Below are 17,206 nucleotides of genomic sequence, written 5' to 3' on the forward strand. Positions count from 1 at the left end.
CAACTGGGATGGGACAGGTGGCCGCGGCCAGGAAGGCACCACAGGTGCAGGCAGGAGGGCAGGCAGCTTCCTCAGGGAGGGGCTGGCACCAGACATGCTGGATCCCGCCTAATCAGCCACCCACCAGTGGTGGGACTGGGCTGAGCACCAGTCACTTATCTGTGACATGGGTCAGGTGGATTTTGGGTGTCAGAGGGAAGGTGTTTCATGTGGCAAGACTGGCAAGGCCAGCATGCGGAGTGGCTAGGACCGGGTGAGAGCCTGGGGGTGTCCCAACACTTGCCCCACCTCATGCAGGTTCTGTCCTTCCACTGCCTGGCCAGACCAGACCAAAGCTCACCTGGCCTTTAAGACTGGCACCTGCACCAGGAGCCACTACTACTCCCTCCTACGGTGGCAGGCTGGGCTCTGCCCCACCGCGTCTGCAGCCCCATCAGCTGGTCTCTCAAGGCTCAGCTTTGGGATGCCAGTACAGACCAAAGACAGGACAAAACCAGTGGAGACAAGGGACATCCTGGGAGCCGAAGGGTCCAGCATGTATAGCCAAGGAGTGGCGTCTCAAGTGTGCAGGGAGCCCCCAACATAGCTGGAAGATCGGCCCGGGGGAAGATGGGCGAGGGCACCATAGGTTATCCACATGCTGGCCAACAGACACGTGGAGATAGACATTCAGCTTTGCCAGGAATCAGCACGTGTACAGGCTCCTGGCGAAAACTGAGTAGACTGGGAAAGCCCGTGCTGGCCGGGTTAGGACTCAGGCACTTGCCCCACCAGCAGGGAAAACTCACATGCTTGGGGGCCCGGCAGATCCTTCTGTAGGCATCTTATCACAGGTGAATACCTGCCTGTGTACTAAGTTACATATACAATACAATGCTCACTGCTGTGGATTTTGTTCTCTTGCTTTTTTTTTTTTTTTTTTTTTTGAGACAGGGTCTTGCTCTGTTGCCCAGGCTGGAGTGCAGTGGTGCAATCATAGCTCACTGCAGCCTCACTCTCCTGGGCTCAAGTGATCCTCTCACCTCAGCCTCCCAGGTAGCTGGGACTATAGGCACATGGCCACCACACACAAAAAATAAATTTTTTAATTTTTATTTTTGTAGACATGACACCAGGTCTTGCTATGTTGCTCAGGCTGGTCTTGAACTCCTGAGCTTAAGCGATCCTCCTGCCTCAACCTCCCAAAGTGCTGGAATTACAGGTGTGAGCCACCTCAACTGACTTAATTATTTAATGTTTCATAAAATAATTTAGCAGCCGGGGGCAGTGGCTCACACCTGGAATCCCAGCACTTCGGTAGGCTGAGACAGGCAGGTCACCTGAGGTCAGGAGTTTGAGACCAGCCTGGCCAACATGGTGAAACCCCGTCTTTACTAAAAATACAAAAAAAAATTAGCCAGGCATGGTGGTGGGCACCTGTAATCCCAGCTACTCGGGAGGCTGAAGCAGGAGAATCACCTGCACCCGGGAGGCAGAGGTTGCAGTGAGCCGAGATGGCGCCACTGCACTCCAGCCTGGGTGACAGAACGAGACTCCATCTCAAAAAAAAAAAAAAAAAAAAAAAGAATTTAGCTGAATTTTGTATTTTCTTTCTTTCTTTTTTTTTTTTTGAGACGGAGTCGCCCAGGCTGGAAGCTCTGCCTCCCCGGGTCACGCCATTCTCCTGCCTCAGCCTCCCGAGTAGCTGGGACTACAGGCGCCCGCCACCACGCCCGGCTAATTTTTTTTGTATTTTTAGTAGAGACGGGGTTTCACCATGTTAACCAGGATGGTCTCGATCTCCTGACCTCGTGATCCGCCCGCCTAGGCCTCCCAAAGTGCTGGGATTACAGGCGTGAGCCACCGCGCCCAGCCTTATATTTCATGTCTATTTCATTATTAAAGCTTTGAAGAGAATACAAGTGCATACCAAGTACTAGGGAGATAGAGTCACTGCTGCATCTTTAATAAGGAAAACCTGGAAACTACCTAGGTGACCATCAGAAGGGGTATGGCTGACATGGTCATGGCGAAGCCTGCTGTGACTTTGCTGCAGCTTGAAGAGCAGTGAGTCAGAAGGGGCAACGGAGACCGGAGGGCCTGGCCCGGCCCAGGTCGCACAGTGCAGGGCAGTCCCAAGGGTGACAGCGGCCAGTGCGCGGGCGCGCCCTCTACCCACATGCCCCGACCCGCCGGGTCCCTGCGTCCGCAAGATCACTTTCCGGGCCCGAGGCGGGGAAGGGGCCGGGACATGGGTTGGGGACTGAGCGCCGCTGAACTGCGCCATGGTCGGAGAGAGTTTGCAGGGGCGGAGGTGTTCCCTGGTCGGACCCTGCCGACCGCCCTCGGGGAGAGGCGAGGCCCTGGCCCGTGACGGCTGGGTCCGGGCCTCAGTATCCCCATCCGCTCAGGGGAAAGCGGGCGGCAGCCCGGAGCCCGACCCCAGCGCCCAGCGCGGCCCGACACCGCCCCCTGGCGGCCGCGGACGTCACTGCGACCCGCAGCCTCCGCCGAAGCCGGGCGAGGGACCCCCGACCCGGGCGCACCAGGCTGCGGGTGCGGGGGCGGGGACGCCCAGCGCCCTGGCCCCGGGGGCGGGGTTCGCGGGCTGAGTGCCCACTCCGCTCTCCCCTCGCCCCGCGGCCTCGGCGGGCCCCCCGCCCACCAGGGTCTCCACCTCCCCCCGGGTGAAATGGCCACAGTCCCGCCATCCGCGCCGCCGCCACTGCGCCTGCCCCCGGCTGGGCCGATCGGAGGTCCCGGCGGGGCGGGCGAGGCAGGTGGTCCGGCGGGCCCCTTCCGGGTTCCCCTCCCCCAGCCGGAGTCCGCGGACCGCGCTGGGCGCAGGGAGGGGGCTGTGCGCGCCTCCGCTTCCCGGCCTTCCCAGCGGGGACGAGCGCCGACCCCCGCCCAGTCGGGAGACGCCCTCAAGGTCCCAGGCTCTGCTTCTGCCCGCCCGCGGCCCGCGGACTGCGGGTGACAGGGTCCCCGGTCCGAGCCCCATCTCCCTAGGAGAGCGGACCCCAGCGCTCCTGTACCCTCCACCTGGTGGCCGTCCACGCAGCCCGGCCTGCTCGCGCGTCCCAACTGCCACTTCCCTTGCCTTCCCCAGCCGCACGTCTACCAGGCTCCTGTGTGTCTGCCTGGCTGGGACTTCCGCATACTCCAGGCCCACTTTACAGGTGCAGATGCTGAGGCCAGAGCGCCTCAGGAGCTGGATGCAGGGGAGAGCGTGCGGGCAGTGTGGGGAGAGACTCGGCCTAGCCTTCCATTGCAGCTCCTATCCCTGCTGCGCCACCCCCTCGGCCTGTCATCTGTCCCCATCCAGGAACCCCCAGGACACTGTCAGCAGAGCCCACTGAGGGTCCAGTGCTGTCCAGGTGGCGGCATCAGGATTCCCAGGAGCCAGCCCTCACTATGCCACCCTATGTCCGTATGTCCAGCAGGGATCTGAGGGCCTGGAGGGGTGCGGAGGCCCTGCCAGGAGATGCTTTCCTCAGTGCCCATTGTGAAGGGAGCAGAGGGCTGAACTGGAAGGGGCTTCCTGGCCCCAGGAGGGCAGTGATTAGGTAAACTGCCCACCCTTCAAAAGTGATGGACAGGAAGGGGAAAGGTGGAGGGTGGAGGAGCTGCAGGTTATGCCGGTGACCCCTGAGAGACAAGGAGATCTCCACAGTGTATCAGTTCTCTTCTGCTGTGCAACAAACAACCCTGCCAGGGTGGCTTTAAACAGCAATGATGTAGGATTGTTTGCGGTTCTCTGGATTGACTGGATGGCTCTTTTGCTTCCTGTGGCGCCCGCTGGGATCACTCTACAGCTGTAGGGATCTGGAGGCCCAACTGGAGTGAAATGTCCAAGTGGTTCATCCACATGGCTACAGTTGGTGCTGGTTGCCAGTGGGAGCTCGGCTGCCTCCAGCATGGGCTGCCACCCTGCTTCGGTGCTCCTTTGCTTGGCTTCTCCACGTGGCTAACTTGGTCTTCCTCACAGCATGGCAGGACAAGCCCCAGTGTGCAAGAGCTCATTAAACCTCTGCTTCCATCATGCTTTCTAATACCTCATTCTCCAAGACAAGCCCAGAGTTCACGTGGAATGAGACTCACAAAGGCATGAATCTCAGGAAGCCTGGTTTATTATTATGGGCATCACAGCTTAGCACAATGATGGGGAAGCAGTGGGGACAGATCGTAGACAGCAGACCTTCCAGGGCCAGAACAAGCAGGGAAGGCTCCTGGAGGAGGATGGGACTGGCTAAGGAGGGGCTGGGAACTCTCTTCCTTCTCCCTGAAGCTCCAAATCCTCAGGGCCTGGGGAGGTTGGAGGAGCACCAACCACTAAATCAAGATACAAACGCTCAAGGCTCAAACTCCTGAACTCAAGGCGGATCACCTGAGTTCAGGAGTTTGAGACCAGCCTGGGAAATATAGTGAGACCTCATCTCTACAAAAAATAAAAATAAAAAAGTTAGCCGGGCGTGGCCAGGCGCGGTGGCTCATGCCTGTAATCCCAGCACCTTGGAAGCCCAAGACAGGCAGATTGCCTGAGGTTAGGAGTTTGAGACCAGCCTGGCCAACGTGGTGAAACCCCATCTCTGCAAAAAATACAAAAAAAAAAAATTAGCTGGGCTTGATAGCAGGTGCCTGTAATCCCAGCTACTCGGGAGGCTGGGGCAGGAGAATTGCTTGAACCCGGGAGGCAGAGGTTGCAGTGAGCCGAGATGGTGCCATTGCACTCCAGCCTGAGTGACAGAGTGAAACTCCATCTCAAAAATAAAATAAAATAAAATAAATTAGCCGGGCATGATGGTGCCTGCCTGTGGTCCCAGATACTCAGAAGGCTGAGGTGGATGGATCACCTGAGCCTGGGAGGTCAAGGTTGCAGTGAGCCGTGATCATGCCACTGCACTCCAGCCTGGGTGACAGAGCAAGACCCTGTCTCACAAAAAAAAGAAAAGAAAAAAATCCCAACATACCGACTGTTGACAAGAACATGGAGCAACTGGAACTCTCATACAATCCCCCAGTGGGAATGCAAAATGATGCAACAACTTGGAAAAGCTTGGCCATTTCCTAAACTCATCATAGGAACCAGCAGTTCCACTCCTAGGTACCTGCCCAAGAAATGAAAACAATATTCTTTTTTTTTCTTTTATTTTCTTAGAGATAGGATCTCACTCTGTCACCCAGGCTAGAGTGCAGTGGCATGATCACAGCTCACTGCAGCCTCAACCTCCCAGGCTCAAGTGATCCTTCCACCTCAGCCTCTCAAGTAGCTGGGACTACAGGGAGCGACACAACACCTGGCTGATTTTTTTATTTTTATTTTTGTGGAAACAGGGTCTCACTATGTTGCCCAGGCTGAGTCGAACTGGGTTCAAGCAATCCTCCCGCCTCAGCCTCCCAAAATGCTGGGATTACAAGCGTGAGCCACCATGCCTGGCCTGAAAACATCTCTAACACAAAGATCTGTATGTGAACGTTCTGTGAGATAAAGTAGCACACCTAGGAAGCCAAGCATGCTCCTTTCTGTTTGCAGCACAGTTTCACAAAGCCCTACCTCTGTGACCACCTGCAGCTCTCCAGAAAGTTGCTTTGAAGACAAAACGCGACAGAGCACACAGTCCCCCTCCCCACGCCTCTGGCTTGAGTTGCTACATTCTCTAAAAGATCCATGACCCTAGCCTTGCCTTTCCCTCCTCATTACATCTGGTTAGGGCCGGGCGTGGTGGCTCACGCCTGTAATCCCAGCACTTTGGGAGGCCGAGGCAGGCGGATCACGAGGCCAGGAGATCCAGACCATCCTGGCTAACATGGTGAAACCCCGTCTCTACTAAAAATACAAAAAAAGTAGCCGGGCGTGGTGGCGGGCGCCTGTAGTCCCAGCTACTCGAGAGGCTGAGGCAGGAGAATGGCGTGAACCTGGGAGGCGGAGCTTGCAGTGAGCCGAGATCGCGCCACTGCACTCCAGCCTGGGCGACAGAGCGAGACTCTGTCTCAAAAAAAAAAACAAAAAAACATCTGGTTAGTGATGATGCTTCTGTGATCTATAACCAGATGTATTCTTACCCAAACCTTGATGTAACTCTGCCTCAGTGTAACTTCTGAGCAAGTCTGATGTGATTTTGCACGTATTGAACTCCCACAATTCATGTATAACTGTGAGCTGAAACTATTTTGGAGCAATCTAAGAAAACCTCACCAAGGAAATGTTCTGGGCTATCAGCCTCTGGGTAATGTCCTCAGGAGGCTTCTGAATCAAACTCACTCTTTTTTGTTTTTTGAGACGGAGTTTCACTCTTGTTGCCCAGGCTGGAGTACAATGGCACAATCTCGACTCACCACAACCTCTGCCTCCTGGGTTCAAGCGATTCTCCCGCCTCAGCCTCTTGAGTAGTTGTGATTACAGGCATGCGAAACCACACCCGGCTGATTTTTGTATTTTTAGTAGAGATGGGGTTTCTCCATGTTGGTCAGGCTGGTCTTGAACTCCCGACCTCAGGTGATCCGCCCACCTCGGCCTTCCAAAGTGCTGGGATTACAGGCGTGAGCCAAGGTGCCCAGCCATCAAACTCATATCTTTTTTTTTTTTTTTTTTTTGAGACGGAATCTTGCTCTGTTGCCCAGGCTGGAGTGCAGTGGCGCTATCTTGGCTCACTGCAATCTCCACCTCCCGGGTTCATGCCATTCTCCTGCCTCAGCCTCCTGAGTAGCTGGGACTACAGGTACCTGCCACCACACCCGGCTAATTTTTGTATTTTTAGTAGAGACGGGGTTTCACCATGTTAGCCAGGATGGTCTCGATCTCCTGACTTCGTGATCCGCCTGCCTCGGCCTCCCAAAGTGCTGGGATTACAGGCGTGAGCCACCACGCCCGGCCCAAACTCATATCTTTAAAAGCTTTCTTTCTTTCTTTCTTTCTTTTTTTTTTTTTTTTTTTTGAGATGGAGTCTCACTCTGTTGCCTGGTCTGGAGTGCAGTGGTGCGATCTCGGCTCACTGCAACCTCTGCCTGCCAGGTTTAAGCTATTCTCCAGCCTCAGCCTCCTGAGTAGCTGGGATTACAGGCGTTCACCACTGCATCCAGCTAATTTTTCTATTTTTAGTAAAGACGGGATTTCACCATGTTGGCCAGGCTGATCTCGAACCCCTGACCTCAGGTGATCCACCTGCCTCAGCCTCCCAAAGTGCTGGGATGGATTACAGGCATGAGCCACTGCACTCAGCCTTTTTTTTTTTTTTCTTTTTTTTTTTTTGAGACGGAGTCTCGCTCTGTCACCCAGGCTGGAGTGCAGTGGTGTGATCTTGGCTCACCGCAACCTCCACCTCCCAGGTTCAAGCCATTCTTCTGCCTCAGCCTCCCAAGTAGCTGGTACTACAGGTGTGCGCCACCACGCCTGGCTTTTTTGTTTATTTTTGTTTTTATTTTTTGAGATGGAGTCTCCCTCTGTCACCCAGGTTGGAGTGCAGTGGCGTGATCTCGGTTCACTGCAAGCTCCACCTCCCAGGTTCACGCCATTCTCCTGCCTCAGCCTCAGGTGTCCACCACCATGCCCGGGTAATTTTTTGTATTTTTAGTAGAGACAGGGTTTCACCGTGTTAGCCAGGATGGTCTTGATCTCCTGACCTCATGATCTGCCCATCTTGGCCTCCCAAAGTGCTGGGATTACAGGCGTGAGCCACTGCGCCCAGCCCTTTTTTTTTTTTTTAAGTGGAGACGGGGTTTCACCATATTGGCCAGGCTGGACTCAAACTCCTGACCTCGTGATTCGCCCACCTCGGCCTCCCAACGTTCTGGGATTACAGGTGTGAGCCACCATGCCCAGCTGCATTTTATTTCTTTAGTCAACATCCATAGCAGCATTATTCATAATACCCTCAAAATGGAAAGGCATATCCATTAACTGGTGAATAGATGTATAAAGTGTGGGATTTCCATACAATGGAAATTATTCAGCAATAATTATTCTCGCCATCTGCCCAGGCTTGTCTCAAGTGACCCACCTGCCTCAGCCTCCCAAAGTGCTGGGATTACAGGTGTGAGCCACCACTCATGGCCTACATCAATAAAACTCTTAGAGAAGGCCAGGTGTGGGTGGCTCACACCTGGAATCCCAGCACTTTGGGAGGTTAAGACAGGAGGATCACTTGAGCCCAAGAGTTCCAGGCCAGCCTGAGAAACATGGCAAAACCTCTTCTCTACAAAAATTTTAAAAATTAGCCAGGCATAGTGGCACGTGCCTGTGGTCCCAGCTACTCGGAAGGCTGAGGTGGGAGGACCGCTTGAGCCCAGGAGTTTGAGGCTTCAGTGAGCTGTGATCACACCACTGCACTCCAGCCTGGGTGACAGAGGGAGACTCTATCTCAAAAACAGAAAAAAAGGGCCAGGCGTTGTGATTCACGCCTGTAATCCTAGCACTTTGGGAGGCTGAAGCTGGTGGATCACGTGAGGTCAGGAGTTTGAGACCAGCCTGGACAACATGGTGAAACCCCGTCTCTACTAAAAAGTACCAAAAAATTAGCTGGGTGTGGTGGTGGGTGCCTGTAATCCCAACTACTCGAGAGGCTGAGGCAGAATTGCCTGAGCCCAGGAGGCAGTGAGCCACTTCCCTCCAGCATAGGTGAAAGAGTGAAACTCTGTCAAAAAAAAAGAAAAAGAAAAGAAAAGAAAGGAAGGAAGGGTTCGCAGAGGTTGCAGTGAGCCACTTCACTCCAGCCTGGGTGAAAGAGTGAAACTCTGTCAAAAAGAAAGGAAAGAGGAGGGGAAGGGAGAAGGAGGAAGGAAGAGAGAAAGAAAAAAAGAGCCAGAGCTTGAGCTAAGCCTTCAGATGGGCTGTGGCAGGAAGGAAGGAAGGAGGGAGAAAGAAAAAAAGAGCCAGAGCTTGGGCTAAGCCTTCAGATGGGCTGTGGCTGGAAGGAAGGAAGGAAGGAAAGGAGAAAGAAAAAAAGAGACGGGAGGGAGGGAGGGAGGAAGGAAGGAAGGAAGGAAGGAAGGAAGGAAGGAAGGAAGAAAGAAAGAGAAAAAAAGAGCCAGAGCTTGCGTTAAGCCTTCAGATGGGCTGTGGCTCAGCTGAGACCCGGTCAATGCTGGAGGCAGCCCTGAACCTTCCCGGTTTCAGCCCCCAAACCCTTGGGGCCTGTGTGTGGTCCCAGGGCCCCGGATACGCGAGCCTGGATGTGTGGCGCCGAGTTGTTTACAGAAAACTCTCCGTGAGGGAACGAGGCCTATTTTCAATGATAAATGCCCCAAATCACAAGTAGTTCAACCCCCAAGTCTGAATTCTCCCAAACTGGAGAAATCGGCTTATTTCCAATAACAAGCTCCAGGCTCAGGGGAGGCCAGCCCAGCCGCGCAGGTGAAGCTGCAATTAGTGCAGGGCAATTAGGGACGCTCCCCGTTCGGGTGGGGCCTGGCCCACGGCGGCGCTTCGGGAGGGAAAGGCAGAGAGGGTGTGCGCCAGCCCCAGCCGCCCACGAACCGCTGGGAGCAGACCCCTCTCTCTGGCCTGGAGGGGACACGGTGCCACTGACTTGAGCCTGGAACCAAAGGGCGGGGTACCCATGCACCCCTGTGCTGAGAGATTCGCTGAGAGCCGCGCAGAGGGCCCCAGAGTCCAAACAGGACACCCAGGATTGAGGCGAGGTTAGGAAACGCACAGTACCTGAGGTCCTCACTTTCAGGGCTCCCTGAGTGATGAAAGGGGGGCTGGGAGAAGGCAGAGGCTGCCCGGGAGAGAAGAGCAGCTTTGGGGGGTTCTGGGTCCCCGCACCCCACCCCGCACTAACCAACTCCCCCAGCCCCAGATAGAAGGGGAGCTGGGCAGGTTCTGGGGGGTCAGCCCCAGGCAGGACCGCTCCCCAACACCCTTCCCTTGGTTACCCTCAGGTATGGAGTCCAGAGTGGAGTCAGCCATGCTCAGACCTTGACCCCCTTTTTTTAAATTTAATTTTTAGTAGAGATAGGGGGTCTCACTATGTTGCCCAGGCTAGCCTCAAACTCCCAATCTCAAGCGATCCTCCCCCCTTGGCTTCCAAAGTGCTGAGATTACGGATCTGAGCCTCCACGCCTGCCCTGAGCCTCGCCCTGCGGCTGCCTGGGCTCCTCCCCGCCTCCGCCCCGGACCACCAGGGGGCGCTGTGAAGCCTGAGACTGGCCGGGCTTCACCTTGGACCCGCCAGGAGTCCCTGCAGGAGTTGGGAGCCCCGCCAGCCACAGCTACTTCCCCGACCCTCCCGGCTTCCCACCGCTGATTGGACCAGGCATGGGCATCTGACTGAGGGGAGCCTATCCATAGGCTGGCCAGTGATCTATCAGGGCTGGCCTAGTGAGAACACGGCCAATCAGATGCTTTCCTGGAACCCGGGGCCAAAGCTGCCCCAGGGGAGTGTGGTAGCCGCAGGCAGAAGGGCTAGCCCGGAGACAGGAGGGGGAGGTCCGAGGAGGGGATCCCGGCGAGGGAGACGCGGGGCGAGTGGCCTGGGCTCCTCCTTGGCTTGACCCAGCTTAGACTTTCTCAAACCGAAGTCATTCTCGCTGGCTCCTGGCGACTCTCATCCTGTCCGCTGTCACCCTTTCGTGATTGACCTGAAATCACTTCGTCACTGCAGCCGCACCCTAAGCATTCATCTCATATCTGTGATGTTTGCTGTGCTCCTTATGTTTGCTCTAATATGGGTTAAACCAAATTCAACACCATCAAAATAATGTTCTTCCATTTGCACACCCACTTTCACAGTAGCAGCGTTCCCAACAGCCAAAAGGTGGGAGCAGCCCACGGGTCCACGGACGGGTGAAGGGGTGAGCAAACAGTCTATACGGACAGTGGAGAGCTCTTTAACCGCAGAAAGAAGGAAATTCTGCATATGCTGCAACATGGATGAAAGGTGAACCCTGACATTATGCGGAGTGCAATAAGCTAGTCACAAAAAGACAAATACTGTAGGATTCCACTTACATTCTGTGTCCAGAGTAGTCAAATTCAGAGAGACAGGAAGTAGAATAGTGGTTGCCAGGGGCTGGGAGGAGCCGTGAATGGGGAGGTATTGTTTAATGGGTATGGAGTTTCGGCTTAGATTGAACTGTACGCTTTTTTTTTCCTTCCTTCCTTCCTTCCTTCCTTCCTTCCTTCCTTCCTTCCTTCCTTCCTCCCTCCCTGCCTCCTTTCTTCTTTCCTTCCTTCTTTCTTTTCCTTCCTTCCTTCCTCTTTTTCTCTTTCCCTCTTTCCCTCCTTTTTCTCTTTCTCTTTCCTTCCTTTCTTTCTTTTTCTTTCTTTCTTCCTTTCTTTCTCTTTCTTTTTCTTTCTCTTTCATTCGTTTGTTCCCTCCCTTTCCTTCCTTCCTTTCTTTCTCTTTCTTTATTTTTCTTTTCTTTCTTTCCATTCCTCCCTTCCTCCTTCTTTCCCCTGACCATGGCAAAGACGTGAACTGTACACTTAAGCATGGTTTAAACGGTAAGTGTTATGTGATGTGCGTTTTACCACCATGTTTGAAAAAGGTTCTTCTGTGCACCCCAGAACCCATCCTGCGTGGGGATCCACAGAGCGCCCAGCCCAGCCTCTGCATGGCATGACCAAGAGCATTTGCTCACCGGGGGGCTCACCGTGGCCTGAGCTAGGGCAAAAGTACCAAGCCAGGATGGCCCTACCCAGCCAGAGCCGGAGACTGAGGGGTCAAACTGGGGTACTTTCCTCGTCTGCAAGGAGAACTCATAGCAGTCCTCTTTAAGGTTCTTTTTTTTTTTTTTTTTGAGACCATGACTCACTCTGTCACCCAGCCTGGAGTGTAGTAGCGCCATCTCAGCTCACTGCAACCTCTGCCTCCCGGGTTCAAGCGATTCTCCTGCCTCTGCCTCAGCCTCTTGAGTAGCTGGGACTATAGGCATGCACCACCATGCCCAGCTAATTTTAGTATTTTTGGTAGATACTGGGATTCACCATGTTGGTCAGGCTGGTCTTGAACTCCTGACCTCAGGTGATCTGCCCGCCTTGGCTTCCCAAAGTGCTGGGATTACAGGCATGAGCCAACGCGCCCGGCCCCTCTTTAAGGCTCTCAAGGGCCCTGTCTGCCAAGGAAGAAAATGCCATCCCAACCCCCAGCCCCACCCCCACTTCCATACACACGTTGGCCTTAGTGGGGACTAAAAGCAGAGAGGAAATGGAGGCTTAGAGAGGTCGAGTGACATGCCCAAGGTCACACAGCCACAACCGGAAGCCAGCAATTCCAATGGCAAAATCCATACTCTCTCTAAAACTTTGCTTCTGAACTACAAGAATGAGAGCCTGGCGAGTGCAGGCTAGGTTGAGGAGAAGCCACCGGACAGACACAGAACACCTTCCGGCGCACCAGCCTTCCGTGGCCATTTGGAGTGGGAGGTGCAAAATTGAGCAAATGCATAAAACCTAACTTTTGCATCACACAAGGATTCCCATGTTGCAGGGGTACCGCGTAACACTCGCATGGAGTTTTTTGGTTTGGGTTTTTTGTTTTGTTTTGTTTTTTTGTTTTGTTTTGTTTTGTTGAGACAGAGTTTTGCTCTTTTTTTTTTCTTTTTTTTTTTTTTGAGACGGAGTTTCGCTCTTGTTGCTCAGGCTGGAGTGCAGTGGCGTGATCTCAGCTCACTACAACCTCTGCCTCCCGAGTTCAAGCGATTCTCCTGCCTCAGCCTCCCAAGTAGCTGGGATTACAGGCCTGCACCACCAGACCCAGCTAATTTTGTATTTTTAGTAGAGACGGGGTTTCACCATGTTGGCCAGGCTTGTCTTGAACTCCCGACCTCAAGTGATCTCCCTGTTTTGGCCTCCCAAAGTGCTAGGATTACAGGCGTGAGCCACCACACCCAGCCTCACGTGGATTTTTGATAAAGCAAGGTTCTTCTGTGATAGCAGCAGGCCTCCATTATCCTGGTCAATTGGCCTGCACAACTAGGGAAACAATGGTGGAAAACTTCGAGAAGCTTGTGTTCCACCTGCCACCAATGGAGAAAGCACCACTCCACTGTGACATGCTTCCTGATGACTCGCTGAACAGAAGGATGCACCCTCAGCCACCAAGGGTGTAGTTTGTGGGTGCCTCCTGGGAACATCAGGTTGGCAACACAAATGCCAGCCCCTCACCCTAGAGTGATTTCAGAGTGTCTCATCTCTTAACTCTGAGTCACAGAGCGGTGGGGAGGAAGACATGGGGCAGGGCAGGGCAGGGCAGGGCTGGGCGTGGCGTGGCCACTCATGGAGCAGAGGGAAGGGTGGAGAGGTGCACTCTGAGTTTGTTGCCTTCATTTGCTTTGTTGATGAAGGAGGAGCCTGAGGGGCCTGGCAGTGGGACTGAGGCTCTGGGCCTTCCTGCTCCCCTGGGTTTGACCCAGACTCCAGCTACCCAGGCATTGCCAGGCAGTATCCTGGGGAAAGGTGGGACCTGCTGCTTCCCACGCCTGCCCTGTGGGATGGGGAGGGCTTGGGGAAGGTGCTGCTATGCCCTGAGTCCCCGGAGCCAAAGACTCCCGAGGGTGACAAGCAGCCCTGCCCGACCTCAGGCCCAGGGGTGATGGCTGTTGGTGGCTCCCAGGCTGAGTCACTGTAGCCTTCCCGTCACTCTCTCTGACACCCAGAGACTGGGTCCTGCCATCCTGGGGTAAGGCAGGGGGCAGGAAGGTGCTTTCGAGAATGTAGCCCTGGCCGGGCACAGTGGCTCACGCCTGTAATCCCAGCACTTTGGGAGGCAGAGGTGGGCAGATCACCTGAGGTCAGGAGTTTGAGACCAACCTGGCCAACATGGTGAAACCACTAAAAATACAACATATACTAAATTACTAAATAAAAAAAATACTAAATACAAAAAGTACTAAAAATACAAAAAAGTAGCTGAGCGTGGTGGTGCACACCTGTAATCCCAGCTGCTTCAGAGGCTCAGGCAGGAGAATCGCTTGAACCTGGGAGGTAGAGGATGCAGTGAGCTGAAATCGTGCCACTGTACTCCAGTCTGGGAGACAGAGCGAGACTCTGTCTCATAAATAAATAAATAATAAATAAATAAATAAATACGTAGCTGTGCCAGAGGCTTAGGGAACTGGGAGTGTCTTAGGGAACTGGGGACCTAGGAGGGGAGGCCACGTGGGTAGGGCTCCCACCCCACTCACTTCAACTGGACATTCTCAGTTCAGGAAGTGATTTTGTTATTGTTGTTGTTGAGCTTCTGAGTAAAATTTCCTGTGAAAAGGGGTTTAGCAGGCGGGCGCAGTGGCTCAAGCCTGTAATCCTACCACTTTGAGAGGTCAAGGCAGGAGGATCGCTTGAACCCAGGAGTTCAAGACCAGTCAGGGCAGCATGGTGAAACCTTCTCTACAAAAAAAAAAAAAAAAAAAAAAAAAAAAAAAAAATTAGCTGGGGGTTGTGGCGTGCACCTGTAGTCTCAGCTACTCGGGAGGCTGAGGTGGGAGGATCACTTGAGCCCACGAGGTTGAGGCTGCAGTGAATGGCAATCACACCATTGGACTACAACCTGGGTGAGAGAGTGAGACACTGTCTCAAAAAAACAAAAATTAAAAAAAGAAAGAAAAAGGAGTTAACTACTAAAAATCATTTCTGGGCCAGGTGCAATGGCAGAGTCCCAGCTACTCTGGAGGCTGAGGTGGGAGGATCATTTGAGTTCTGTAGGTGAAGTCTGCAGTGAGCTGTGAGCACGCCACTGCACTCCAGCCTGGACAACGGAGCAACACCCTGTCTGAAAAAAATATAATAAATTAAAAATAAAGCCTGGGTGCAGTGGATCATGCCTGTAATCCCAGCACTTTGGGAGGCCTAGGTGGTCGGATCACCTGAAGTCAGGAGTTCGAGACCAGCCTGACCAACATGGAGAAACCCGGTCTCTACTAAAAATACAAAATTAGCCAGGCGTGGTGGCATATGCCTGTAATTCCAGCTACTCAGGAAGCTGAAGCAGGAGAATCACTTGAAGCTGGGAGGCAGAGGCTGTGGTGAGCCAAGATCGTGCCACTGCACTCTAGCCTGGGCAAGAAAAGCGAAACTCCATCTCAAAAATAAAATAAAATTAAAAAATAGCCGGGCGCTGTGGCTCACACCTGTAATCCCAGCACCTTGGGAGGCCAAGGCAGGCAGATCACAAGGTCAAGAGTTCGAGACCAGCCTGACCAACATGGTGAAACCTCATCTCTACTAAAAATACGAAAATTAGTCGGGCGTGATTGCACGCCCCTATAGTCCCAGCTACTCAGGAGGCTGAGGCAGGAGAATCGCTTGAACCCGGGAGGCGGAGATTGCAGTGAGTCAAGATGGCGCCACTACACTCCAGTCTGGGTGACAGAGCGAAACTGATCCCAAAAAATAAATAAATAGAATAATGAAGATAGAAATCATTTGGGGTCCCTGCACCCTACATAAAATGTCAAATCATAAACCCCAGGGCCTACTCTGAACCAAGACCTCTCTGTTCCTCACTGTACCTCCTCAGAGAAGAAACTCTGGAAGAGCAAGAAAAGTGTTAGACTCAGAGTCAAGCGGACCCAGTAGAAAACCCCAGAAAAGGACAGCTCAGACTCAATGGAAGCTTATTTTTCTCTCATTGTGAAGATGTCGGCCGGGCGCGGTGGCTCACACCTGTAATCTCAGTACTTTGGGAGGCCAAGGGGAGTGAATCGCTTGAGGTCAGGAGTTCGAGACCAGCCTGGCCAACATGGTGAAACCCCGTCTCTACTAAAAATACAAAAAAATTAGCTGGGCGTGGTGGCAGGCGCCTGTAATCCCAGCTACTTGGGAGGCTGAGGCAGGAGAATCACTTGAACCCGGGAGGTGGAGGTTGCAGTGAGCTGAATTGTGCCACTGCACTCCAGCCTGGGCAACAGAGCAAAATGCTGTCTCAAAAACAAAAACAAAAACAAAATCTGTTTAGAGGGGCCCAGGGCTTATATGGCAAGGAGTGTCACAGTGTCAGGAACCTGGGCTGCCTTTATTCCTTTCATCCTGTGGCTCTGCCGTACCTGGTTTTATTTTTTTTCTTTTTGTTTGCTGTTGTTTTTTGAGATGGAGTTTTGCCCTGTAGCCCAGGCTGGAGTGCAATGGCGCAATCTTGGCTCACTGCAACCTCCGCCTCCTGGGTTCAAGTGATTTTCCTGCCTCAGCCTCCAGAGTAGCTGGGACTATAGGCTCACGCCACCACGCCTGGCTGATTTTTTGTACTTTTAGTAGAGACGGGGTTTCACCATGTTGGCCAGGCTGGTCTCCAACTCCTGACCTCAGGTGATCCACCTGCCTCAGCCTCCCAAAGTACTGGGATTACAGGTGTGAGCCACTGTGCCTGGCCTCTTTTTTTCTTTTTTTTAGACACAGAGTCTGGCTCTGGGGCCCAGGCTTGAGTGCAGTGGTGAGACGGGAGAATAAGTCCTAGAGGAAGGGAACCTGAGGACTTCCCAGAACTAAATCAGATGGAGAGGAGAGAGGAGGCATTTCAGCTACGACAGGAAATATCCTCTTCATTTGCATAGGGCGTTCACCAAGTAAGTGACTTTGTAACTTCATCCTCTTCATTTACATAGGGTGTACACCCAGTAAATAGCTTTGTAACTTCACTTCAGTAACTCACTTTAAGCCTCTTCATTTACATAGGGTGCACACCAAATAACCAATGGAAACCTCTAGAGAGTATTTAAACTCCAGAAAATTCTGTGACGGGCTCTTGAGCCAACGTGCTCCGGCCGCTCCCACTCTGTGCAGTCGACTGTACTTTTGTTTTCAATAAAACTCTGCTTTTGTTTCTTCATTCTTTCCTTGATTTGTTTATACGTTTTGTCCAATTCTTTGTTCAAGACACCAAGATCCTGGAAACCCTCCAACGCTAACAGTGGCACGATCACAACTCACTGCAGCCTCTCCTGGGCTCAGGTGATCCTCCCACCTCAGCCTCTCAAGTAGCTGGGACTACAGGCCCACACCGCCATGCCCGGCTAATTTTCGTGCTTTTTGTAGAGATGGAGGTCTCCCTCGGTTTCCCAGGCTGGTCTCGAACGCCTGACCTTGTGATCCGCCCGCCTCAGCCTCCCAAAGTGTTGGGATTACAGGTGTGAACCACCGCGCCCGGCCTGGACCCTCCATTTCTTTTTTTTTTTTGAGACAGAGTCTCGCTCTGTTGCCAAGGCTGGAGGGCAGTGGCTCTATGTTGGCCCACTGCAAGCTCCGCCTCCCCGGTTCACGCCATTGTCCTGCCTCAGCCTCCCGAGTAGCTGG

At 53.3% G+C, this 17,206-nt stretch overlaps 1 long non-coding RNA gene across 2 annotated transcripts, besides 5 other annotated features; it reads left to right on the forward strand.

Annotated features, from left to right (window-relative positions):
• Positions 2,257–2,306: a silencer, noted in NCBI's record as "silent region_6119". NCBI's record gives its function as "represses an Ori minimal core promoter by ATAC-STARR-seq in GM12878 lymphoblastoid cells {active_cell/tissue: GM12878}" and the evidence as "EXISTENCE:reporter gene assay evidence [ECO:0000049][PMID:35858748]".
• Positions 2,327–2,536: a silencer, noted in NCBI's record as "silent region_6120". NCBI's record gives its function as "represses an Ori minimal core promoter by ATAC-STARR-seq in GM12878 lymphoblastoid cells {active_cell/tissue: GM12878}" and the evidence as "EXISTENCE:reporter gene assay evidence [ECO:0000049][PMID:35858748]".
• On the forward strand, positions 2,918–16,742 carry LOC105370680 (uncharacterized). 2 transcript variants are annotated; one of them, XR_944239.2, is made up of 4 exons: positions 2,918–3,161; positions 10,712–10,859; positions 16,307–16,479; positions 16,589–16,742. It is a non-coding gene; the product is annotated as an uncharacterized LOC105370680 (long non-coding RNA). The 2 variants fall into 2 exon arrangements; XR_944238.3 differs by lacking the exon at positions 2,918–3,161 and having other exon boundaries at positions 10,271–10,859.
• Positions 3,027–3,146: an enhancer, noted in NCBI's record as "active region_9073". NCBI's record gives its function as "activates an Ori minimal core promoter by ATAC-STARR-seq in GM12878 lymphoblastoid cells {active_cell/tissue: GM12878}" and the evidence as "EXISTENCE:reporter gene assay evidence [ECO:0000049][PMID:35858748]".
• Positions 9,994–10,293: a silencer, noted in NCBI's record as "silent region_6121". NCBI's record gives its function as "represses an Ori minimal core promoter by ATAC-STARR-seq in GM12878 lymphoblastoid cells {active_cell/tissue: GM12878}" and the evidence as "EXISTENCE:reporter gene assay evidence [ECO:0000049][PMID:35858748]".
• Positions 14,189–14,690: an enhancer, noted in NCBI's record as "H3K27ac hESC enhancer chr14:102995075-102995576 (GRCh37/hg19 assembly coordinates)". NCBI's record gives its function as "activates a minimal SCP1, AML or CMV promoter by ChIP-STARR-seq in naive H9 embryonic stem cells {active_cell/tissue: H9 hESC(naive)}" and the evidence as "EXISTENCE:reporter gene assay evidence [ECO:0000049][PMID:30033119]".
• Positions 16,743–17,206: the final 464 nt, after the last annotated feature.

Source organism: Homo sapiens, chromosome 14, assembly GCF_000001405.40.
Source record: "Homo sapiens chromosome 14, GRCh38.p14 Primary Assembly".
In the NCBI taxonomy this organism is placed as follows: Eukaryota; Metazoa; Chordata; class Mammalia; order Primates; family Hominidae; genus Homo; species Homo sapiens.